General features: G+C 52.1%; 4 annotated features.

Moving 5' to 3' along the window:
* Positions 1,243-1,465: a silencer, noted in NCBI's record as "fragment chr5:131423316-131423538 (GRCh37/hg19 assembly coordinates)". NCBI's record gives its function as "represses an EF-1alpha promoter that drives an FKBP-Casp9 reporter gene in an ReSE screen in HepG2 liver carcinoma cells {active_cell/tissue: HepG2}" and the evidence as "EXISTENCE:reporter gene assay evidence [ECO:0000049][PMID:32094911]".
* Positions 3,488-3,657: an origin of replication, noted in NCBI's record as "GM-CSF Ori2 (primer set 23; PMID:16109380); peak of nascent strand synthesis determined by competitive PCR of size-fractionated nascent DNA". NCBI's record gives the evidence for it as "EXISTENCE:fractionation evidence [ECO:0000100][PMID:16109380]".
* Positions 3,488-9,243: a biological region, named in NCBI's record as "origin of replication downstream of CSF2".
* Positions 9,134-9,243: an origin of replication, noted in NCBI's record as "GM-CSF Ori1 (primer set 17; PMID:16109380); peak of nascent strand synthesis determined by competitive PCR of size-fractionated nascent DNA". NCBI's record gives the evidence for it as "EXISTENCE:fractionation evidence [ECO:0000100][PMID:16109380]".

Raw genomic sequence — 12,251 nt, 5'->3', positions numbered from 1 at the left:
CAGGGAGGCATACATGTAGCACCCCGGTGATCCAGTTGGATACCTCTTTATTACTCCCTTTCCCAATTTTGACAGTAAATGGACAAGTGCAACAATCCCAGCCTGAGATGGAATCAGACCTCTTAGAGATGAAGGATTGGGTCATGCTACCAGGTGAGCCAGCAGGATGAGCAAAGGTGCTAACTGAGAGTGAGGGGGAATCTGGAATGGATAGTAGAGGAGGAGATGATGAGTGTCATTTGTGGCCCTGAGATCAACTGCAACAGCAGGGACTGTAGTTCATTGTGAACCTTCCTCTTCTAAGTCTCCCAGAAGTAGAAGCCTGCTGGAACCATTGGTGTGCTAGAGCTGGCTACTTGCTCGTGAGATCCCATTGCTAAAGTTGTTGCCAGTCTGTTTTTAAACCGTTGGTAGTGCACCGATGGTGGGAGTATTTATACCATGATAGTTTTTTTTTCTCTTTTTTTTTTTTTTGGAGAACCAGTTATTGATAGCACACCACTGGAATCCTGGAGGAGCTGCTCCCAGAACCAGTGGGAAGTGTTTATATGAAGAAGTGGATCCAGAAAGCTCAAGGGATGGACTATGGTGGAAGCTATGATATGCTGCCCTGAACACCCTTCAGGAGTCAAGGTCTGATTGCCCCTGCTGAAGAAAATTTCCGTGCCTAAGGTCATGCTTCCTTCCAGGGGCAGCTTACATCCAATTACTGATCAAAATGAAGGCATAAAGGCTTGACCTCCTTGCCCCAACATAGGAAGAGTCTGAAGGGCCATCCCAGCTGTAGAAGTCTCCTTAGGATCAGCTGAGACTTCTGTTGTGACTGTATTTTGTCCAAATTCTCCCTCTGTTCAATCCTGCTTCCTTCCCTTCCCTTCCATGAGCAGTCCTGCATGCCAGTTTCTGTCTCAGAGTCTGCTTCCCAGGGAACCCAACCTCAGGCAGGCAGCCTCGTCATGCTTTCAGCACAACGGTCCCCTGAAAGTAGAAAAACCTCAGCTCACCCCAGGGGGGTTCTTGGACCCTACAGCCTCAGAGCAGAGTGTGTTCAAGTCAGCTTCAGTCTCTGCAGCTATGAAGGGGACTAATCACCCCATCCTCACCTGGCCTGGAATTGCTCCCCTGGGTCAAAACCTTTTAGGCCCTCAGGCCTCTGGGGCCTGGAGGTCATGAGGGGTGGTGAGAAGAGAAGGCGGCCAGGTGGAGCTCAACATCCTCGGATAGTCGTGCAAATGCCGGACTATAGCCTCTTCTGGGCACCGCCCCCTGTGCCAACAGAGTCCGGACTCATAGTGGTTCCTAAAAAGACCTTTTCCACGACAAGCACAGCCACCATGCTGGGAGTAGGTGGCCCCAGGAGAGATGTCGAGGAGGCTTTCTCTGCCCCACAGGCCAGGAAGGGGAGGAAAAAACCAGGAGAATGGATTGATTCTTGAGTCTGACTCCAGGGACAGTGAGGGCCACAGCCTACTACCTTCCTGGGACTTGTGGGGTTGAGGGCATTGTAGTCCTGGAGAAATGGGTCCCAAGAGTCCCACAAAGTCTCTGATCACAGTGCCAAGAGGAGGAACCTCCAAGAGAATCGGGATCTGCAGTCAGGGGCTGAGCTCAGAGACAGAATGGCCACATTTTAACCTGACCACAGCTTGCAACTGCGTCTCTGTCTGTCCCTGCCAGGGGCTCTTGCCAAGTCCGCCATCTCCTCTATGTCTGTCAGTCTTTCACTGCCAGCGTTCCCTCTTGTCTCTCCATCTGTCCTTTCCAGGCTCTCGCTGAGTCTAACTGTCTATCAGTGTCTGTCCGTTTACTCATCACTGCCAGGAGCCTGAGCTATGCCTATCTGTTTGTCTGCCCCTGTCATGGTCCTGCTGTGTCTGTCTGTCTGCTTGTGACTCCTGGTCCTTCAGCCTGACAGAGTCTAAGGTCAGATGCTCCTTCCTAACAGGGGGGTTCATTGTAACTTGGGGACCTGGTCCTTCAGCCTGACAGAGTCTAAGGTCAGATGCACCTTCCTAACAGGGGGGTTCATTGTAACTTGGGGACCCAGGCCCACACCCATTTTTGTTTGATCTCAGAGCCCAAGGCTGCATATCTCTGTCCCTCAGCCCCATAGGCACAAGAACCTTTGGTGTGACCATGGCCCAGGGTATGGCTCGAGGCTCTGGCAGCTTCCTCTTATTTCCACCTGGGTTCCAACACTGGTTGCTGCCCATGTCCAGGACTGGATTGGTGAGAGGAGGCATTAGGGTCTGTCTGATTCACAGTGCTTCCCCTAGCCCTGAGAAGAGAGAGAGCTTCCATTTCAGTTGAGGACTAAGAGGCACCCACAGAATCTGCCCCAGAGAGGTCCCAGTGGGAGAAGGGACCTGAGGGGTATGGAGTTCACTCAGGGACAGCTTCCTGGAGTGTAAGGGGAGAGGGGAGACTATGAGTTATCCTGTTATTGTGTTGTTTCTGACTGGCTCCAACCCAGTTGCTGCTTCCCTGGCCTCCCTTCCCCAGCACATGACCTCACCCTTATCCAGTCTGGTAGAGGAAGAGGCCTGGATAGGAGCCAGGGCCTCCATCAGGAGAGCTTGGGGCTGCCCCAGGCCTAACTGGAGGAAGTGTGACACATTCCCAGAGAGCTGGGCTTCCCTCCCTCTTGCAGCTTCCTTTGAGATGGTTCCCGAATCCGTTAAGTGGGAAAAAGAGCTGGCAGCTGTGCTGGTGTTGGGCTCCCAGTTCCCCTGGCTCCTGGATGGCCCCAAGGGCCTCCTCTTGGCTCCCTCACAGATGCTATTTTTGATAAGAATAATGAAAACAACAGCCCTGGCTGTGTACTTAGTACCTGCTTATAGCCTGTTGCTGATCTTGGTCCCAAGAACATTTTCTAAACTTTGGAAAATTGGATGTTGCCTTTCCATCCGGACTTCTGTAAAAGCTGTGTGCATTTCTTTTATTCAAAGGTGAAAAGAGGCTCACTTTCATCAGACTCTGGAACATAGTCACTGCTGGCACTTGATGCCATGAGGGGCCCTCCTCCGAGCTGGGGGATAAAGCAGTAGTTCAGAGCAGAGACCCTCACAGTCCCCTGAGGAACAGATAACAGTCCACCCCTGTGGCGTAAGAGGTGGGCAGGCAAGCCTCAGAGTAGGTGTTGAGGAAGAGGAGGCCCCAGTGCAGGACCTCTCCACCTCCCACTGGACATTAGTCTTACCCCATTGTGGAGACAGATGTCAACCATTTGGCTGGGGTGCATTCCAGGCAGGGGTAGCAGGTGATGGTGGGAGTGCTGTGGCTGGTTCGTGTTACTGGGGTCCAGGGCTGATATGAAGGAGATGGATGGTGAGCAATGAGGCTAGAGGTATCTGCAGGGGCTGACGGGGCCAGGGCAGTAAGGGAGGGTCTTAGGTCAGACCAAAGGGCTTGGAGTTCATGCTGAGCTGGCAGGTAACCCTTATGACACACAGCCAGACTAACCCCTAAAGTGTAAGCTCCTCAAGGGTTGGTTTCCTTTCAGAGCCTGGCACAGTTCCTGACACTTTGTAGGTGCTCAGTACATATTTATGTAATGAATTAATGGGTGGCTGCTGTGGGGAGAGAAGCAGGAAGGGTCTAGAGACAAGGCCTGTGGGTATTTGGGGTGATTGTCTGCATTAGTGAGGTGGACTGGGTCAGGGCAAAGCCATAAAGACAAAGAGAAGTGGGCAGGTTGGAAAGGGGCTGGGAAGATGAATGTACCAGGACATGGCAGGGGACTGACTAAGGGACCGAGACCTCAAGAGGAACCCAGGACAGTACCCAGGTCTCTCCACTTGGTTTCTCCACATAGGATAGCAAAACATTACAGTTTACCTGGAGCCTCCCAGAGGCTCTGAGACCTTGTAGATAAGGGCTGCACTCCACAGTGTGCTGGCAAGACACCATCCACAGCCACATCAAACTGGGCCCTTTGTGAGCTACCTCTCCCAAAAAGGAGATGCAGGAGTAAACAACGCAGAGAAGAATTTCTGGTAATGATGGGAGCATTTGGGAAGCAGGCTCAGATCATATGAAAGAAGAAGAGAGTTCCAGTGTCTGGTGGATAAGCAGTGTCTACAAAAGGCAGGAAAACCAACAGCAACATTGTTCATGAAAGACTTTTTTTTTTTTTTTGAGATGGAGTCTCGCTCTGTCACCCAGGCTGGAATGCAGTGGTGCTTTCTCGGCTCACTGCAAGCTTCATCTCCTGGGTTCAAGCGATTCTCCTGCCTCAGCCTCCCAAGCAGCTGGGGACTACAGGCACGTGCCACCATGCCCGGCTAATTTTTTTCTATCTTTAGTAGAGACAGGGTTTCACCGTGTTAGCCAGGATGGTCTCGATCTCCTGACCTTGTGATCCGCCTGCCTCGGCCTCCCAAAGTGCTGGGATTACAGGCATGAGCCACTGTGCCCGGCCAATGAAAGACTTTTCCTTGGGAAAATATTAAATATTTGCCAGCAGCTAAAGCTAGTATTTAGTTAAAGCTAAAATATGTATGTCCTATGACCTAGCAATTCCATGTCATTCCCAGCATTTCCAGAAGAAAGGTAAACATATGCTCACCAAAACATGAGTGCAGGAATATTCAGTGAAGCTTTATTAATATTAGCCCCAAAGTGGAAACACCCCAAATGTCTGTCAGCAGTAGAATAGGAAATTTTTTTTTAATTAAAAAAATTTTTTTTAGAGACAGGTTCTCACTCGGTTGCTCAGGCTAGAGTGCAGTGGCATAATCACAGCTCACCTTAGCCTTGAACTGCCGGGCTAAAGCAGTCCTCCTGCCTCAGCCTTCCACGTAGCCAGGACTACAGGCCTGCGCCACCAGGTCCAGCTAATTGTTTTATTTTTTTGTGGAGATGAGGTCTTGCTGTGTTGACCAACTGGTCTCAAACTCCTGGCCTCAGGCAGTCCTCCTTCCTCAGCCTCCCAAAGTACTGGGATTACAGGCATGAGCCACTGCACCTGGCCAGAATAGGGAAATAAATTTTAGGATATTTTTATAATGGGATATTATACAGCAGTGAAAAATAACGTTACAATGATGGGCAATAACTAGAGAATTACACAGACACAGCGTTGAATGAAAGAAGTCAATCATAAAAGGGTATAGTACATGCTTCTGTTCTAAATGAAGTTCAAGAATGGGCAAAACTAATTTATGGTGGCAGAGGTTGGAATAGTGGCTATACTTGGAGGGAGGATACTGATTAGGAGCAGGGAAGTACAAGGAAGGCTTTGGTGGTAGTGGAAAATGGTGTATGTGTTTCCCTGGGTGCCAGTTATTTATATAGGTATAAATATAAAAACTCACTGAACGATATACTTAAGATTTGTGCACTTCATTTGTACAATATTGCAATAAAAATGAAAATAACTTTTTAAAAGGTTTTTCTCCACCTACACAAGAACTGCAGGCTTTTGAAGGAAGTGCTGAACTTCCAGGTGGTATGTTAACGGAAGGGCCTGGGAAGTTCGTGCTGATCTTCCCTTGAGGTTGACCAAAAAAAGGGAGAAAGATTTTAATTAATCATCTCTCAGGTTGAAAGAGCAGGTCTGGGCCAGAGATAACATCAGCAGCACCAACATGAAACTGTTTCGCTGCTCTTTTCTTAAACCACAGTGAAAAATAACTTTTGAAGTTGCATTTTTCCTGGCAGTCATGGTGCAGGGTCCCCTCACAGAAGGGAAATTGGTCAACTGTTTCCAAGAGTGAGGCCTGTGTCCAGCAGCCCTTTAGAGGACCCAGAGAGGGGGTTTCTGTGGGGCCAGGCTCAACAATTCTGTCTAGCTTACCTCCTGTGTGGTCCTGAGGAAGTCCCTGCCCTCTCTGGGCCTTGGGGCTGGGGAGCTTCCAGCACTGACAGTAGGTGAGATGGCTGCTCATCACCCCCAGCTCCCATCTTGGGGGCTGCCCCTGTTTTGACTTGCTCTGCAGACTGCATGCCATGAGTGTCTGGCCTCCCCACCCCTCTGAGGAACAGGGCACGCATCAGGGTGTTCTCAGCAGCAACAGGTTTTCCCGACTCTGCATCTGCCTGGTCTTAATGGTGTCAGGGCAAGCTGGTCTTGGGCTGGGGTCTTTCCATTTCTGCCTCACCCCTACTTCACAGATAAGAAAACAGGCCAGAGAGGGACCCACGCATCACATTTCTTGTGAAGCCCATGTAACAAAGTGGGAGGATCCACGGCAGGAGCCGCTGGGTCCAGGGACACCAGCCATGTGCCTTCAGCACAAACCAGCAGCGGGCTCAGAAGCCTGGGACAGCACAGTGTGGTGCCTGCAGCCCCTGCCCTCCACTTCAATTATGCAGACCCAGCTTACCAAGCACATACATATGCAGGCAGCCAGGAACCAGGAGTAAAGTCTCCAGAACATAGCACATCTGATTACCAGGGCCAGTCCTGTCCATTTGGGGCTGGCGTGGTGCAGGCCAAATGGGTAGCCCCCTATCTGTGACTCCATGCACAGGGCATTAACGTGTGAGGTTAACTGAGGATGTGTGGACAGCACTTGCACCCTCTCAGGCCATGCTGTGAGCTGTTCTGCCTGTCCGGGAGGAGCAGACAGGCCTCTTCTGCTGTCTGTGCTGAAAGAGGCACCTTGGCTCTTGCCCAGGCAGGAATGCTGTGGGCCTTTGAGGGAACCTGCCTCATTGTAAGCTAATCAAGATGTTCAGCATCTTGGCCGAACAGCCAACTTGTGGAATCAGTTGACACAAGGACACCACAGAGAATCTCATTTAGCCAGGGACACTGAGGATGGAAATTTTCTATAAGCACGGGGACCACGTGATGGCCGCTGACCTGGGCACTGTGCCCCTCTCTTCAGATCAAGCCATAGGGAAAAGCTCATCTGCCATCCCACCTCCCAAGTCATCATCCCAATTCCCTTCCAGTCCCTGGCCCACATGGGGTTATCCTGGCAGCCACGCCATACTGGACCTTTCAGGGATGCCCTTCCACGTTGCCCTGTTAGTTTCATGCCCATCATTTCATCTCACAGACTGACAGATTGGCCATTTCCATGGATGAAGCTTCCCTCCTTATGTGTGGTCTCTCTGGGTATGAATGCCAAGTCAAAGGATGTGGCCATACTATGACTGTGACAGAGACTGCTGTGGGGCTGCTGGTTCTCAAGGCCCAGCATATGAGAGAGGGCTGCCCTGCTGCCTTAGCGTATTTCTTAGATTTCTGGTTCCAGCCTCAATGCTACTGATTTCTGTAGTGGGAGAGAGTACAGAGGACACGGAGGGTGGTAGAGAGTAGAGGTGGTCCTTGGGAGGCCCATGTGAAAGGAGGGGCTATCCCATTGTCTTGAGAGGTCTTGATGTGTGAATGAATCTTCTCAGGCCACCAAGCCCTGCTCTTCCTCCCAGTCTAGAGCATTTCCTCAGGGCCCGGCCTGCTATAGTTGTCTCCTACGGAAGAATATTGTTTGGACCTATTTCTTGGCCTCCTTGGGAAAGGGAGTACCCAGGGCCAGTCCCAGCCAATTGGGAGTCAAGACCAAGCTTCTTGGGCCCAGGTATCCAGCCCAGGGCTCCAGGAATCCAGCAGGCCAGCATCTTGAGATCCTGAAGCAGCAATGCCAGCAGGCTTCTGGGGAGCTGTGGGCTCAGGCCTGCCTGAGTCTCAGGTGCAGTACCCACATGGCCCTCCCACCTGGTTCCAGCCCCCAGCAGGCTCCCTAGCCCCACTGTCCAGATATGAGTCTACCTGACGGTAGAACAAGGGCACATGGAAAACTCAGGTGGCCGTCACTGCAGTCTCTTCATGGGTAGCTGTTTGGTGACTTTGACCAAGGGTTAAGGCTGTCAGGGTGATGAGGGCAGTCACTTGGTTTAGTACAGCCAGCTTCCCACCAGTGCCCCTTCCAACTTCCCTGTTTACCAGAAGAGGTACCAGAAGCTCCCTGTCAACCCTTCTGACCTCAGTTTCCCCAGAGTTGAGCCAGATGCCCTGAGGTCCTTTCGCTGGATAAAAACCGTGGACCTGAGTTCTGATCTGGCCTCTGGGGCTGGAGTTCACCCCACCTTTGCGGACTCTGTGGCTGAGAGACTGAAGTACCTGTCCCAGGTCACACAACAAGCTAGTGGCAGGCCAGTCTCACATGTACCATGCTGTGCTGAACGTGGCACTGAGGTGAAAAGGACATACGTCTATGCTCCCCACCCCCACTGTCAGGTACCTCAGGCTTTGTCAGGAGCTCAAGGTCAGGAGACCTCATGCCTGGAGGAGGTCTGGGGCAGGGAAGAGGAGGCTGGGGCAGGGAAGTGGAGGGTCTCCTTGCCAGAGTGTCCCAGCAGCGCCATCCAGCTATGCACCTCATACACTCCAGAGCCTTGGGACCTCTGAGCACCCAGGTGGTGCACCCAAGGGACAAGAGCTTACAGTCTCTGGTGACTGGATTGTGGGCTTTCTCTGGACTGAAACCACCCTTGGACCCTGGCCTTGCACTAGCCCCTGACATCTGATCCTGAATCACAGGGCTACCCTCCATGTTCTAGATGATTTGGCAACTTTTCTCAGGCACAGTTGCTGACCTCCAGACTGATGTGTTCCCTCAAGGTGGAGATGAGCAGTGGGGGTCTTGGGATCCTAGGGCAAGGGATGGGGTGGGCAGGTGTGTGGTTGGCCTGCATGGCTGCAGGTGCTGTCCGAAGCTTTACAGCTGGGCAGGTTTGTCGATGGGCAGATGTGGCAAACTCCCTGCAGGTCTGGCCTGGGCTAAGTTGTGGTTGCAACTTAACAATTATGTTCCAGAACAAATGGGTCTTTATCGGTCCTGGTCAGGTGGAGAAACTCACAGTTGGAGAGATTTGGATTGTAGGAAGCTGTGTGGACTGTGGAGTAATCCCAGTTGCCTCCAATAAACTCAAATGTTTAGAATTCAAGTTAGAGCTAAGGGTAGGGGGTCAGAGCTTTGTAGCCCAGTCTGGCAGCACTTTAGGACTCAAGCAACTGGCATTTCACCCCAGGCAGGGCCCAGTGCTCTGCGGGTGTGAGGTGGTACTAGTCATGGAGGGGCCGTCATGCCATGGAGACACAGGAGAGTGTTGGCCACGGTTTTGCAGGCCAAGAAAGAGATTTTACTTTGAGGTCAGATGACTCTGTTGGTCCAGAGGAAGCCAGGGGTTTGGAGATGTCCCTGGCCTCTGTGGGCCCCCTCCTCCCCAGGTCCCACACTGTGCCCAGTGCTCTGTGAGTCACCTGAAAGGCCCTGTTCCCCTGAGCCATTTACCAGGGCTGACATTTCTGTGGTGCCGCACTGGGCCTTGAGGGGGTGGCAGGGCTGGATTAGATTTAGAGCTCCCCAGGAGCTATGATACAGAACAGAGGACGGAGAGCTTTGATCTTCAAGTCCTGGCACTTGGATCTGGAGTGGGCAGGTGCTGACTGAGGCTGGGGAGGCGGGCCTGGGAAAGGACCTGAAATCTTGAGTTCTGATGGACACAAGGAGAAGGGGGGCATAACAAGTTGATAGAGCCCCTACTGTGTGCCCACTGGCACTGGAGATGCAGTGGGGGTTCAGATGAGGTGGGGTCCCATTTGCCTCATCCACGGCCAGATACTTCTCCTGAGAGACCCGTGGAACTCCAGGTATGGAGCCCAGAAATGGAGCCATCGCCTCCACCCTTTGCAGTCTAACAGGACTGCATCCCCACGAGGCTGGACTCCATCATGACTCTCACTCACCAGCATTTCCACATCCTGGGCCTTATTGAAGCAGCAGGTGTCAGTTACAGAAATGTGTCCCCAGGCACCACCACCCCCAATACCCACCCACACCCTTGTCTGCCGGCCCAGGGCCAGCAAACTCACACCCCAACCCAGCAGTAAGTTGTTCCTGATGCTTTTCCAATCAATTTCCTGCAGTGCTAACCTCGGGAGAGGGCAGGAGCCCAGAGGCTGCCCTTGATCCTCTTAGAAGATTTCCATCCTTCTATGGATATGATAACACTCTATAAGGCTTCCTTGAACTTGGAGAAATGACTTTACTCAATAGTACCATTCTTGGGTGAGTCTGTTGGCTAAACGAGAAATACACATTTCAGTCATCTTCTTAGTAGGAAAAACAATGAATAAATAAAAGCAAACGCTTGTCCTTCCAGCCATCCTCTAGGAGGTAACTGGCAGCCCTCCCCAACTGTTTGAGGGAGGGCACAGGGGCTGTGTGGTGATGGAAGGGTCCAGAGTCTGAGGACTATCCATAGTGTTGGAGAGGGAGCCCGCAGGATAGGCAGGTCCCGTGGCTGTCCAGGACAGGGACATAAGGACAAGCAGGCTGGGAGGAGTACCCAGGACTGTCTGAGCAGTGGGAAAAGAGGGGGAGGCAGCTCAGTCACTTCTCCAGGCATGCCCCTGCAAACTGCTGCTCATCCCCCCATCATGGGTTCTCAGTGGGCTTCATCATCCAAAAGAGGCCCCAAGGACAGGGCAAACTGGAGCAAGCTTGCACTGGTTCTCAGTTCAAGTCCATGACCTCAGCCTGAGTCCATGACCAGTCCTGCTCTGACCTGTCTCAGACCTATCCCATGCTGATCCCTGTGCATGGGGGCTTGGCAGAGAGCACAGACAGAAACCCTGAGAATCTCTGAATCCCCACTTCCTCACACCCAGCCCTGCACTCCCCACCCTCCACCTTGTGTCAGTGAGTAGACTTCTTTTAGATTGGAGACAATTCCAGAGGATAGCCACCTGTGGCCTAGGAGTAGCACCAGAGACCTTGCATGTGGCAGTCAGGGTGTATAAAAGCCCTTTGCCTCACTGGGCCCCTGGCTGTGGTGCAGGGAAATGATGTCTCAGGTTCTGCTAAGAGCAAACAGCAAACAATGTACTTTCAGCTTTGGGCAGATTTTGATGAGTTATTCCATGTCCATGTAAACCTTCGTTATGTGATGGTCCTGTTTGTCATATTTGTTAATGAGACTCTTCAGGGTGAAGGTAAAGTTCTTTGTAAACTCCTCATAGCAGAGCTCCTGAAACAGGTTCAGGGCTCTGGTGCACAGCAGGGCACCAGATGACCCAGCCTCATCCATCCCTGGTCAACCTGGCCGGAAGGAGCCCTGGACCCAAGCTCAGGCCCTACCCTGATTCTCCCACAAGGAGACCTGTGGGTCTCGCAGGCCAAACAGTGGAGGCAATGGGCATCTGGTCTCTCCCTGGGCTCAGGGCTGCACTTGGTTGGGAGGCTCACCTGCTGACTGAGCTGGAGGTTCCATCCCCACACTCTGAGCTTTCTCCCAGATTTCTCACTCCACTATCCCTTGTTGTTATCTCTTCCCTGGGCACTGACTGGTGAGATCTCTCTCTCCCTGTTCAAATGTGGTATGAAAGGTCCCGGGGCAGCTGTTTCTTACCTCACTGGTTTTCTGGGGCCTATTGAAGGGACCCCGGAAGCCAGAGAAATTGGTCAGGAGCACAAAGGGGCACTAAGAGCAAAATAACGTTTGATGGAGACCCAGACTTATCTTGTGTGTGTTATTGTCAGCCGAGAGTTCTTTCTGAATGTCAGCACAGACTGCTGTGTACTTTTCGTGGGGAGATATCGTGGCTACTTTCATTGGGAAGAATGGCTTTCTGACCCCCAGAGCACATGAGCCAGGAGCACGTACAGGTGCATGGTATTACTTGAAGGTGACTCCAAGCTGGTCCGAGCCCTGGGCTTGGCAGCATTTCTGTGGAGAGGGGTACCTATATATGTGAGGCTAAGGAAATGCTAAACCTCTTATCAGTCATCACTGGCTTACGCGGAAGACAGAGAGGACCTTATCGCTGGGCAAGATGTGATTTTCATGCATTTTCAACAACCACAGCACACTTCATGGATTCTTGCCTGTGCTGACACTCAGGCTTCATCCTGAGCGTTCACCCTGACTTCTTATTTGTAATCACACCTGAAGTCACGGTCTTTCTGCATGAGCATGGAGTGGGTCTCTGGCCAGGCCTGGCGCTGTCTGCAGGTGCTGACTGAAGTAGAGGAAGCAAGAGGGGTGGTGGGCGCATGACTGCAGACAGTGCCAGGCAGGGGCTAAAGCTGCCACAAGCCAGCTTCCTTAGGCCCACCTGTCAAGGAGAAGCTGGCCCTGCTGCCCGCCTAAGACTTGGGGCACATCCACTTCCTCATAGTCCTGGAGGGAGATGAGGGAACAGGTTCAGGAACAAGGCCTTGAGCCCAGCTGTCAAAGTAAGGAGAAGGAGGAGGCCTACTTTGTTTTTAGCCTGCAGGCCATGAGTTTTAGGGGAA

This window comes from Homo sapiens, chromosome 5 (genome assembly GCF_000001405.40).
Source record: "Homo sapiens chromosome 5, GRCh38.p14 Primary Assembly".
NCBI classification, from domain to species: Eukaryota; Metazoa; Chordata; class Mammalia; order Primates; family Hominidae; genus Homo; species Homo sapiens.
This window is presented reverse-complemented; position numbering and strand designations above follow the sequence as displayed.